The following is a 13,004-nucleotide window of genomic DNA, read 5'->3' as shown; positions in this document are numbered from 1 at the left end:
AAATGGTATTTCTAGTTCTAGATCCTTGAAGATAATTCTAACTGATTATGGAGGTGAGAAGCAGGACACAGGAATAATGAGTACATTGATATAACGTGGTTGATATTGGGCGTTTGCAGCAATATTGATCAGTTGCAGAGACTTAAGAGAACAGTCTTAGGGATTTGATATTTTAAGATTGTTAGAGGGAAAAGGGGATGACAATTTTTCCTTGGCTGAGATCTTGAGTTCATGTCAAGGATCCATGAAGATGACTAGCAGCTGGCACTCTGATATATAGGAAATAAGGAAGAGAAAAATCAAAGTGAAGCCAGCTCCACTTCACTAAGCAGCCTCACAATTTAACAATATAACACATCAAATGTTTGGCAACAGTATGTTGGTTGTCAACAAAGTCAGGGGAGTGGGAGTTAGTTCATTGGTAAGGCTGGTAGCAGCTGGACTCACAGTAGGTGGGCTGGCAGCAGGGTGGGCTGCAGCAGGTGGTCACACAGACGGTCCTGTAGCAGGTGATTGCACAGCAAATTGGGCCACAGCAAGGCGGGCGGGAGCTGGACCCACAGCAGATGCTCCTGTAGCAGGTGGTCTTGCAGCACATAGGCTGGCAGCAAGGGGAGCAACACTGGGTCATGATGTCAGGGGTGGAGGGTGGGCTCCTGTTTAGAGGTAAATTTCCCGGAATCTGATGACTCCTTCCAATCTGGACCTTCTATACACTAAGCCTCCAAAGTTTCCACCAATCAGCAGGACTTTTCCTTGTTGTTGTTTACATTGTTTTCCGTAGTCAGTTTGGGATTATTGAAGAGGATGTTGTTTCCTAAATATTATAGATCTTCTGAGAGTAAGGGCTTAATCTGTTTCTTAATTGAGAATAACTGTTAGAAACTTTGTTTCAGATAAAAGGAAGGTGGTCACATCATTGACATCCTTCCTGCTCTGGTCATCATGTGGTCATGTGATAGTTCCTACTGGCCTTGGAAGGTCAGGGCAGGTGTCTCTCCCCAGCTTGTTCTTTGGGGAGTGTCTGTGGGGAGGAGCATGATGCTGATAGGTTCACAGTGATGAACTGAATCCATGCCTGCGTCAAGGCTATTCACCTACAAGGCCTGATTCAAGAATAACAGGCACCTACCTGTCTTTGTGCAACCTACTCCGGATGTGTATGTGGTGTTTGTCTTTCTGTGCCTGGCTTATTTTACTTAACATAATGATCTTCAACTCCATCCATGTTGTTGCAAATGACTTGATCTCATTCTTTTTTATGGCTGAATAATACTTCATTTGGTGTATGTACCACATTTTCTTTATCCACTCATCTGTTGGTGGACACTTACATTGCTGCTAAATCTTAGCTATTGTAAACAGTGTTGCAACAAATATAGGAGTGCAGATGTCTCTTTGATATACCAATTTCTCTTCTTCTGGGTATATACCGAGGAGTGTGATTGCTGGATAATATGGTAGCTCAGTTTTTAGTTTTTTGAGGAACCTCCAAAGTGTCTTCCATAGCGCTTGTACTAATTTACATTCCCACCAAGAATGCACGAGCGTTCTCTTTTCTCCACATCTGCATCAGCATTTGTCATTGCCTGCCTTTTGGATATAAGCCATTTTAACTGGGGTGAGATGATCTCTCATTGTAGTTTTGATTTGCATTTCTCTGATGATCAATGATGGTGAACACCTTTTCATATGCTTATTTATATGTCTTCTTTTGAGAAATGTCAATTCAAATCTTTTGCCCATTTTGTGATCAGATTATTAGATTTTTTTTCCTATAGAATTATTTGACCTCCTTATATTCTGGTTGTTAATTCATTAACAATGCATAGGTATTTTGCAAATATTTTCTCCCATTCTGTGGGTTGTCTCTTTGTTATTGTTTCCTTTGCTGTGCAGAAGCTTTTTAATTTGATGTGATCCCATTTGTTTATTTTTGCTTTGGTTGCCTGTGCTTGCGGGGTATTGCTCAAGAAATTTTTGCCCAGACCAATGTCCTGGAGATTTTCCCCAATATTTTCTTGTAGTAGTTTCATAGTTCGAGGTCTTAGATTCAAGTCTTCGATCTAATTTGATTTGATTTTTGTATGTGGTGAGAAAGAGGGATCTAGTTTCATTCCTCTGCATAGAGATATCTAGTTTTCCCAGCATGGTTTATTGAAGAGAATGCCTTTTTCCCAGTGTATGCTCTTGGCACCTTTGTTGAAAATGAGGTGACTGTAGGTGTGTGGCGAACTTTACTTGTCATGCAGACACCAGTTATATTGAATCAGAGGCCCATTTTATTCCAATGTGACCTTACCTTAACTAGTTACATTCTCAATGACCCTATTTGGTGATGAATTTCTGGGGAAACAAGTCAATCCAAATATTGAAGTATCTCAGAGTGTGTCCATGGCTGATGATAACTGCAAATGAGTAACAGGAATCACAGTGGACAATAACACAGTAACTAGAGGGTCAGACCCTTCAGGCAGGAGGTTCTGGCTTACATCATCAGGCAATTATCTAGACAACAGAAGTGCTGGCCAGTGGTGAAGGGAGTATAGAACTTGTGGTAACTAATGGAGATGATGAATCTCAGGTGAACCCTATTACAGTAGTAACTGTATCTTGTTCCATTTGGCCTTTATTTTATATCTCTCCTTCCCTTCTTCCTTCCTGCCTTCCTTTCCTCTTACCTTCCCTTCCTTCTATTCTACCATCCTTTTCATACAGACACCAGTCATATTGAATAAGAAGACCAGTTTATTCCAATGTGACCTTACTTAACTAGTTACATTCTCAATGACCTTATTTGGCTATGAATTTCTGGGGAAAAAAATCAATCCAAATATGGAAGTATCTCAGAGCGTGTCCATGCCTAGTGATAACCACAAATGAGTAACAGCAATCACAGTGGACAACGGTATAGTAACTAGCAGCTCAGAACCTTCTGTCCCTCTTCTTTCTCTCCTCCTCTACCTCCTTCTCCTAGAATTTCTGGCTGTCCATCACAGTTAAGAAGCAAAGATTGGATCTGAGTGGAGCGAATGACAGACCATAGATGACATTTTCATTATCCTGTCCATATTTCTCAGATCTTAGTGTGCTTGGGCCAGTTTCTATTTGCCAGAATCTGCATCTCTGTGCCTAAGGGCTCTTGTATTGCAACTGCAGAAAGTCATGTCACCTGTGCATTCCACACAGAGGACTATCACTCAACTCAACCAATGATCTTGGAGAGCTGATTTACAAAGACTCTAGCTCCCTTATTCCTGAAGATAGAGATTGCTAATTTATGTGTTTTTCATCATTTCTGATAGTTTTCCCTTTGGTTTAAATTTTAGTTGGTCACTGTGATACTTACTGGCTCAATAGTATACCCTTTTCTGTATCTCTTCTCTGATCCCTAATGGTGTGATCTGCACTTCCCAATAAACTACTTTCACTGGAATATTTTTCTAAGTATCTGTTCTGGGAGAAACCACACTATGACATTACATTAACTCTCTCAGCCTCAATTTCCTCATCTCTACAATGGTAACATTAATACCTACTTTGAACATTTCCTCAAGAATAAATATTAATGAACATAAAGCATGTAGTCACTATCTATCAAATAGTAGGCAACCTAGAACATATTAGTTCTTTTTTTGTCCAGAAAACTTAAAAAATAATTTTAATATTGAATATAAGAATATATTTAAAATAACTAACTAGATCAACTAAATTCTTTCTTTACTAGTTTTATTGAGGTATAATTAACAAATAAAAATTGTGTATATGTAAGGTATAAAAGGTTATGTTTTGAGGTATATATATATATACAGTGTGAAATAATAATATATTTATTAGCTCACATAGTCACCATTTCCTTTTTATTGTTGTGGTGTGAACATTTAAGATCCACTTTCTCAGCAAATTTCAGGTATACAATAAAGTATTTTAAACTATGTCCACATTAGAGTGCACCAGATCTGCAGAACATATTCGTCTTATATAACTGATGTTGGTCATGAGAATGTGCTAGTTCTCCTTTACCCCACCACCCAACGACTATCCCAGTCAGCGGCTTTTCTCTCTTTCTGGAATCTTCAGAGCATTCCAGATATACAGTCTCAAAAGATGGCATCTGTATTTTTTAAGGAATAACTTAAGTTCATTTTGCCTTGCCAATATGTATTCAGGAGAAGAAGGAAGCCATATAAGAATGGAAATGTTATCTGCAAATGTTACCTGCAAATACAGGAGATTACTCCTCCATTGTTGAGTCAACTTAAGTGCATGTCTTGCGAATGTAGAGTCCCAATGTAATTTTTACTTTAATGAGAGTTAAATATAAGTGCTCTTGGACAGAAAGAGAAGACCCAACCTTAAATCTGAGTCTGCATTTTTAGCTAAATAACATCACACATTAAAATTTTCCTCAGCTGGAAAGTAGAGGTAATAAAACATGACCATCTGTTTTTATAATCAAATTAGGTAACATGTATGGTATGGAATATGTGTGTAAATCCCATATCAGGAATGCTGTAAAATAAAAAAAAACACCATGTGAGATGAAGGACAGCTTTGAGTTTATTAAGAAACATATAGGTAAGAGTCCCTGTTTCTAGGGAGATAACCCAAAATGATCATGAAAGGAATAAGGATAAAAGAACCACGAGGAGGACACTGAAAATGAAAACATGATTGTGAAGATTATTGATCAGTTGCAAAACCTAAGTTTCTTAGAGAAAGGGAATGAAGCTCTTGACTTTAGAGTCAAGCTGAGACCATGACTCCAAATTGAAAATACATGAAGGTGGCACATGATCCACAAGGTGTAAGGAAAAAAGAATCAGGATGAAGTACTCTACCCTCACTCAAGCTGATTCACAAAATGTTAAACATGCAGAGAAGTCATAAAAATTAGGGTGAGCAAAGTTCACCCTAAGTTCACTTTGTTGGTTTTCATCACAGTTTGAAAGTAAATTTGTCCCCCAGAAGGTAAATCTTTTGCCAGAGGGTTACTGTATGGGGATGATGGTCCTCTGCGGAACTGATCAGCAGCAAGCAGGCTGACAGCAGCTGGTCACACAGGTGGGCTGGAAGCAAGTGGTCCTGCAGCAGGTAGTCTCACAGCAGGCTGGGCGGCAGCACGGCTGGCAGCAGCTGGAGCCACAGCTCTGGTTTAGGCAACCAGGCAGGTAGACACTCGTGGGGTGGTAGCAGGTTCTCCTGCAGTAGATGGGTGCACAGGAGCTGGGCTGGCAGCAGCTGGACCCACAGCTGGTTTGGCCACAGCAGCTGGACCCACAGCAGATGGGCTGGCAGCAGGGTGTGCTGCAGCAGGAAGGCTGGCAGCAGCTGGTCACACAGGTGGGCTGGCAGCAGGTGGTCCTGCAGCAGGTGTTTTGACAGCAAGTTGGGTGGCAGCAAGGCTGGCAGCAGCTGGACACACAGCAGGAGGGCTGGCAGCAGGGTGTGCTGCTGCAGGTGGTCACAGTGGTGGGCTTCCAGCAGGTGGTCCTGCAGCAGGTAGGCTGACAGCAAGGGGAGCAACAGTGGGTCATGGTGTCAGGGGTGGAGGGTGGACTTCTGTTCAGAGGTGAATTTCCCAGGATCTGATGACCCCTTGCCCTCTGGACCTTTTATACAACTGGCCTCCAAAGTTTCCACCAATCAGCAGGACTTTTCCTTGTTGCTGTTTATGTTGTTTTCCACAGTCATTTTGGTATTGTCAAAGGGGAAGTTGTTTTCTAAAGGTTATAAATCTTTTGAAAGTAAGGGTTTAATCTGTTGCTTAATTGTGGATTACTCATAGAAACTATTTCAGATAAAAGGAAGCCCGTCTCATCATCAGCATTGTTCCTGCTCTGACCATCTTCTGGTGATGTGATAGTTCCTGGTGACCAGGGAGGCTCAGGAAGTTCTCTCTACCCAGCCTCATTCTTTGGTTGTATGTAGGTTGGCAAGTGTCTGTGGGGAGAATCATGATTCTGATATGGTCACAAAGACAAAATGAATCCATGCCTATGTTCAAGACTGTTCACCCACCAAAATCTGTTTCAAGACTAACAGGCATCTCTCTCTGTACAACCCACACCACCTGTGTCTTTCACCTCCATCAAAGTCACTTGGGAAAAGGGTGATTGGTACAGTGTGTTCTATGTGTCAGAGCAGAACCAGAGCAGGTGGGTACGAGGAGAAGTCCAGTGGGATTTAGATAGCATCAGGCAATCTTTGCCCTGGGTTGACCATTCATTCTGATTTGTCTGGGAGAGAGGGGCTTACCATAATGAAAATGTGGGACTTTGTGTAACATAAGTGCTTTAGACTCAGGCAAGCCAGCATGAGCTGTGGCTCTAGCCCTAACTCTGGTAGTAGCATAGTCAGTGCCATTTCTTTTCTCTATCTTTCTCCATTTCTTTTTAATGAAGAAATTAGATGAGTTGAGATGATAGCTGATTCGTCTTGGAGTTCTAACATATTAAAACATTTTTTAGGTATACCATTCATTTCAGAAGAATGCAAATTATTAATTTCCAACTTGTTATAACTTTGTAAATAAAGCTATGTCCCCATTACCAGGTTAGGAAATAGAAATTAATCCCATTCCCTTTAAATTATATTCCTTTACTCATCCCAAAAAACCACTAATCACTCTATCAAGTTGCAACCCTGTAGGTCAATTTGGCTATTCCTTTTTTACTTCGTGTGAATAAAAATTATAATATTTGCTTCTCTATTTCTTTTGCATAATCAGAGGTAATAATTATTGCCTAGTCATTTTGCACTCTTCATGTCAGCAGATCAGAAGGCAGAGAAAAGAGTTCCTTTTTGGTGAGGGGTAATTATCCTGTTTTCATGGCATGTAGGAGAATGTATCTGTAGCTCAGGAGATTTACTGAACATACTAATTTACTAGCACTGCTGTGATAAACCACTACAAACCAAGTGGCTTAAATTTATATTCTTGCAGTTCTGAAGGCTAGCAGTCTGGATTTAAGGTGTTGCCAAGGTTGTTTTCACCTGAGGACTGTTAGGAAAGCATCTGTTCCAGGTCTCTCTCCTTGAAGTGTGGATGTCTGTCTTCTCCATGTGTCTCTAACATGACCATCCTTCTAGATGCACACTGCCTCTGAACTTACCCATTCTATACAGGCATCAGTAATATTGAATCAGAAGCCTGATTCCAATATGACTGGATCTTAAGTAATTACAGTTTCAATATCCCTATTTGAATATGAATTTTGGGGGACACAAGTCAAGCCATAATATTGGAGAATCTCATAGTGTGTCCATGCCCAGTGATAACCACAAATGAGTGAAAACAGCAATCGCAGTGGACAATGGTACAGTAACTAGCAGCTCAGACCTTTCTGTCCATTTTCTTCCTCTCCTCCCCTCCCTCCTTTTCCTAGAATTTCTGGCTATCCATCACAGTTAAGAAGCAAAGAATAAATCTGAGTAGAGCAAATGGCAGATCATAGATAACGTTTTCATTATCCCATCCATATATTTTGGATTTTAGTGTGCTCAGGCCAGTTTCTATCTTCCAGAATCTGCATCTCTGTGCCTAAAGGCTCTTGTATTGTACCTGCAGAAAGTCATGTCACTTCTGCATGCCACAGAGCGAAAAACACTCGACCATTGATTCTGGGGAGCTGATTTACAAAGACTCTAGCTCCTTTATTCCTGAAGTTGGAGAATTCTAATTTATGTGTTTTTCATCATTTCTAATAGTTTTCCCTTTGGTTTAAGCTTTAGTTAGTCACTGTGATACTTACCAGCTCAATAGTGTACCCTCTTCTGTGTCACTTTCCTGATCCCTACCGGTGTGATCTGCACTTCCCAATAAACTACTTTCACTGGAGTATTTTTCTTGGTATCTGTTCTGGGAGAAACCACACTATGATATTACATTAACTCTCTCAGCCTCAATTTCCTCCTCTCTACAATGGTAACATTAATACTTACTTTGAACATTTCTTTGAGAATAAATATTAATGAAAATAAAGCATTTAGTCACTACCTATCAAATAGAAGTCAACCCAGAACATATTAGTTCTTTTTTTGTCCAGAAAACTTAAAAAATAATTTTAATTTTGAAGATAATATATGTATAATAACTAACCAGATCAACTAAATTCTTTCTTTACTAGCTTTTTTGAGGTATAATTAACAAATAAAAATTGTGTATATGTAAGGTATAAAAGGTTATGTTTTGATATATATATTCATTGTGAAATAATCACATATTTATTAGCTCACATAGTTACCATTTCCTTTTTATTTTTGTGGTGGGAATATTTAAGATCCACTTTCTCAGCAAATTTCAGGTGTACAAAAAAGTATTTTAAACTATATCCAAATTAGTGTACACCAGATCTGCAAAACTTATTTGTCTTATATAACTGATGTAGGTCAAAGAGAATGTGCTAGTTCTTCGTCTCCTTTACCCCATCACCCAACGACTATCCCAGTCAGCGGCTTTTCTCTCTCTCTGGAATCTTCACAGCATCCCAGATATACAGTCTCAAAAGATGGCATCTGTATTTTATAAGGAATAATTTAAGTTCATTTTGCCTTGTCAATATGTATTCAGGAGAAGAAGAAGGAAGCCATATAAGAATGGAAATGTTATCTGCAAATACAGGAGATTATTCCTCCATTGTTAAGTAAACTTAAGTGCATATCTTGCTAATGCTGAGTCCCAATATAGTTTTTTCTTTATTGAGAGTTAAATGTAAGTGCCTTTGGACAGAAAAAAAGACCCAACTTTGCATCTGAGTCTGTCCATTTTTAGCTAAATAACATCACACATTAAAATTTTTTCAGCTGGAAAGTGGAGGTAATAAAACATGACTGTCTGTTTTGATAATCAAATTAGGTAACATACATGGTATGCAATATGTGTGTAAATCCCATATCAGGAATGCTGTAAAATAAAAAAAAACACCATGTGATAAGAAGAATGGTTTTGAGTTTATTAAGAAACATATATGTAATGGTCCCTGTTTCTAGGGAGATAGCCCAAAATGATCATGAAAAGAAGGATACAAGAAACACGAGGAGGACATTGAAAATGAAAACATGATTGTGAAGATCATTGATGAGTTGCAAAACCTAAGCTTCTTGGAGAAAGAGAATGAAGCTCTTGACTTTAGAGTCAAGCTGAGACCATGACTCAAATTGAAAATACATGAGGCTGGCACATGATCTACAAGGTATAAAGAAAAAAAGAATCAGGATGAAGTACTCTGCCCTCCCTCAAGCTGATTCACAAGATGTTAAACATGCAGAGAAGTCATAAAAATTAGGGTGAGCATGCTGGTTGTCAGCAAAGTTTGAAAGTAAATTTGTCCTCCAAGAGGAGGACAGAAGGTTGCCAGAAGGTTGCTGTGTGAGGATGGTGGTCCTCTGGAGAGTTGGTCAGCAGCAAGAAGGCTGACAGCAGCTGATCACAGAAGTGGGCTGGAAGCAAGTGGTCCTGCAGCAGGTGGTCTCACAGCAGGCTGGGCGGCAGCAGGGCTGGCAGCAGCTGGAGCCACAGCTCTGATTTAGGCAACCAGGCAGGCAGACACTCGTGGGGTGGTAGCAGGTTCTCCTGCAGTAGATGGGTGCACAGGAGCTGGGCTGGCAGCAGCTGGACCCACAGATGATTTGGCCACAGCAGCTGGACCCACAGCAGGTGGGCTGTTAGCAGGGTGTGCTGCAGCAGGAAGGCTGGCAGCAGCTGGTCACACAGGTGGGCTGGCAGCAGGTGGTCCTGCAGCAGGTGTTTTGACAGCAAGTTGGGTGGCAGCAAGGCTGGCAGCAGCTGGACACACAGCAGGAGGGCTGGCAGCAGGATGTGCTGCTGCAGGTGGTCACAGTGGTGGGCTTCCAGCAGGTTGTCCTGCAGCAGGTGGTCCTGCAGCATGTAGGCTGACAGCAAGGGGAACAGCAGTGGGTCATGGTGTCAGGGGTGGAGGGTGGGTTTCTGTTCAGAGGTGAGTTTCCCAGAATCTGATGACCCCTTGCAATCTGGACCTTTTATACACCTGGCCTCCAAAGTTTCCACCAAACAGCAGGACTTTTCCTTGTTGCTGTTTACATTGTTTTCCACAGTCATTGTGGTATTGTCAAAGGGGACGTTGTTTCCTAAAGGTTATGAATCTTTTGAAAGTAATTTTCAGAAGAAAATTATTTAATTTTCTGTTGCTTAATTTCTTAGTTTTCTGTTATTTTCTGTTGCTTAATTGTAGTTTACTCATAGAAAGTTTATTTTCGATAAAAGGAAGCCCCTCTCAACATCTGCATCGTTCCTGATGTGACCATCTTCTGATTATGTGATAGTTCCTGGTGACCGGTTAGGCTCAGGAAGTTCTCTCTACCCAGCCTCCTTCTTTGGTTGTATGTAGATTGGGAAGTGTCTGTTGCGGGAAGCGTGATGCTGATGTGTTCACAATGACTAAATGAATTCATATCTGTGGCCTAGATTGTTCAGCCACCAAAGTCTGATTCAAGACTAACAGGCATTGCTCTCTGTACAACCCACACCACCTGTGTCTTTCAGCTCCATCAAAGTCACTTGGGAAGAGGGTGATTGGTACAATGTGTTTTATGTGTCAGAGAGAACCAAAGCAGGTGGGTACAAAGAGAAGTCCAGTGTGATTTAGATAACATCAGGCAATCTTTGCCCTGGGGTGACCATTCATCTTGATTTGTCTGGGAGTGAGGGACTTACCAGGATGAGAATGTGGGACTTTCTGTAACATAACTACTTTAGATTCAGGCAAACCTGCATGAGCTGTAGCTCTAGCCCTAACTCTGGTACTAACACAATCAGGGCCATTTCTTCTCTCTCTGTCTATTTCTTTTTAATGAAGGAATTAGATGAGTTGAGATGATACCTGATTTGTCTTGGAGTTCCAACATATTTAAACATTTTTTAGGTATACCATTCATTTTGGAAGAATGCAAATTATTAATTTCCAACTTGATATAACTGTAAATACATCTGTGTTCCCATTACCAGGTTAGGAAATAGAAATTAATCCCATTCCCTTTCAGTTATATTTCCTTACTCATCCCCCAAAACCGCTAATCACTCTATCAAGTTGTAACCCTGTAGGTCAATTTGGCTTTTCCTTTTTTACTTCTGTGTGAATAAAAATTACAAAATTTATTTCTCTATTTCTTTCGCATAATCGCAAGTAATAATTACCGCCTAGTCATTTTGCACTCTTCATGTCAGCAGATTAGAAGGCAGAGAACAGAGTTGGTGAGGGGTAATTATCCTGAAGGCGTAGAATGTAGGAGAATGTATCTGTAGCTCAGGAGATTTACTGAATATGTTAATTTACTAGCACTGCCATGATAAACCACTACAAACCAAGTGGCTGAAATTTATTTTCTCACAGTTCTGAAGGCTAGTAGTCTGAATTTAAGGTGTTGACAAGGTTGTTTTTACCTGAGGACTGTTAGGAAAGCATCTCTTCCAGGTGTCTCTCCTTGACTTGTAAATGCCTGTCTTCTCCATATGTCTCTTACATGATCTTCCTTCTAGATGCACATGGCGTCTGAACTTCCCCATTCTATACAGGCATCAGTCCTATTGAATCAGGGGCCTAACTTGTTCCAATATGACCTGATCTTAACTAATTATGTTTTCAATGACCTCATTTCAATATGAATTTTGGGGGACTCATTCAACCCATAACACTGGAGAATCTCATACTGTGTCCATGCCCAGAGATAACCACAAGTGAGTGAAAACAGCAATCACAGTGGACAGTGGTACAGTAACTAGTGGCTCAGACCCTTTGGGCAGGAACATCTGGGTTACTCCTTCCGGAAATTATCTAGAGTAGTAAAAGTTCTGGAAAGTGGTGAAGGAACTATAGACTTTTGATAATTAATGGAGATTATGGCTGTCAGGTGCACCCTATTATAGCAGCAGTAACTGTTGCTTGTTCCATTGGCCTTCATTTTACATATCTCTCCCCCTCCTTTCTTTGCTTCTTAATTTCTCCTTCCTTCCTTCCTTCTTTCCTTCCTTCCTTCCTCCCTCCCTCCCTCTCTCTCTTTCTCTTTCTTTCTTTCTTTTTCTTTTTCTTTCTTTCTTTCTCTTTCTTCTTTTTCTCTCTCTCCTTCCTGCCTTCCTTCTCTCTCTCTCTTTCTTTCTTTCTTTCCTCCTTCCTTTCTTCCTTCCATCCCTCCTTTCCTTCTTCCTTCCCTCTCTCCTTCCCTCCTTTCTTCCTTCCCCCCTTCTTTCCTTCCTTCCTTTCTTCTCTCTTTCTTTCATTTTTCCATCTTTCTTCTTCCTCTCATTTTCTGTTTTTCCTCTTTCTCCTCTTCCTTTCCTCCTCCTCTTCCTTCTTCTAGAGTTTGTGGCTGCCCACCACACTTAAGAAGCAAAGATTGGGTCTGTGTGGAGCAAATGGTAGATTGTAGATAGGATTTCCTTATCCCATTCCTATATCTTGGATCTTAGTATGCTCAGACCAATATGCATTTGCCCAAATCTGCATCTGTGTGCCTATGGGCTCTTGTATTGTTACTGCAGAAAGTCATGTCGCCTGTGCGTGCCACACAGAGAAAAACACTCAACCAATGATTCCAGAGCACTGGTTTGTGAAGACTCTAGCTTCCTCATTCCTGAAGTAGGATAATTCTAATTTGTTTGTTTTTCATTATTTCTAATAGTGTTTTGTTTGGTTTAAGCTTTAATTGGTCACTGTGATACTAGTTTAATAGTCTACCCTTTTCTGTGTCACTTCTCCAATACCTGCTGGTGTGATCTGCACTTTCCAATAAACTACTTTCACTGGAATATTTTTCTTGGAGTTTGTTATGGGAAAACCAAACTCTGATATTACATTTCCTCTCTCAGACTCAATTTTCTCATCTCTACAATGGGAACATTAATACCTACTTTGAATGTTTCTTCAAGAATTAATGATAATGTTCATAAAGCATTTAATCAATACCCATTAAATAGTAGGCAACCTAGGACATATTAGTTTTTTTTTTGTCCAGAGAACTCCTAATTT

General features: G+C 40.3%; 1 protein-coding gene and 2 pseudogenes across 1 annotated transcript; all 3 read right to left on the bottom strand.

Annotated features, from left to right (window-relative positions):
* KRTAP9-10P (keratin associated protein 9-10, pseudogene) lies at nt 425–631 on the bottom strand (annotated as a pseudogene).
* KRTAP9-7 (keratin associated protein 9-7) lies at nt 5,028–5,537 on the bottom strand. The gene has a single exon (NM_001277332.1). The coding sequence runs from the start codon at nt 5,535–5,537 to the stop codon at nt 5,028–5,030; it is 510 nt and encodes a 169-aa protein (NP_001264261.1).
* KRTAP9-11P (keratin associated protein 9-11, pseudogene) lies at nt 9,202–9,958 on the bottom strand (annotated as a pseudogene).

Source organism: Homo sapiens, chromosome 17 (assembly GCF_000001405.40).
Source record: "Homo sapiens chromosome 17, GRCh38.p14 Primary Assembly".
Classification (NCBI taxonomy): domain Eukaryota; kingdom Metazoa; phylum Chordata; class Mammalia; order Primates; family Hominidae; genus Homo; species Homo sapiens.
The sequence above is the reverse complement of the archived record's forward strand: the minus strand, read 5'-3'. Positions and strand labels throughout refer to the sequence as shown.

Excerpts from the sequence above, each read along its gene's own strand:
- KRTAP9-7 (NM_001277332.1), bottom strand. The coding sequence starts at position 5,537 with ATGACCCACTGTTGCTCCCCTTGCTGTCAGCCTACCTGCTGCAGGACC.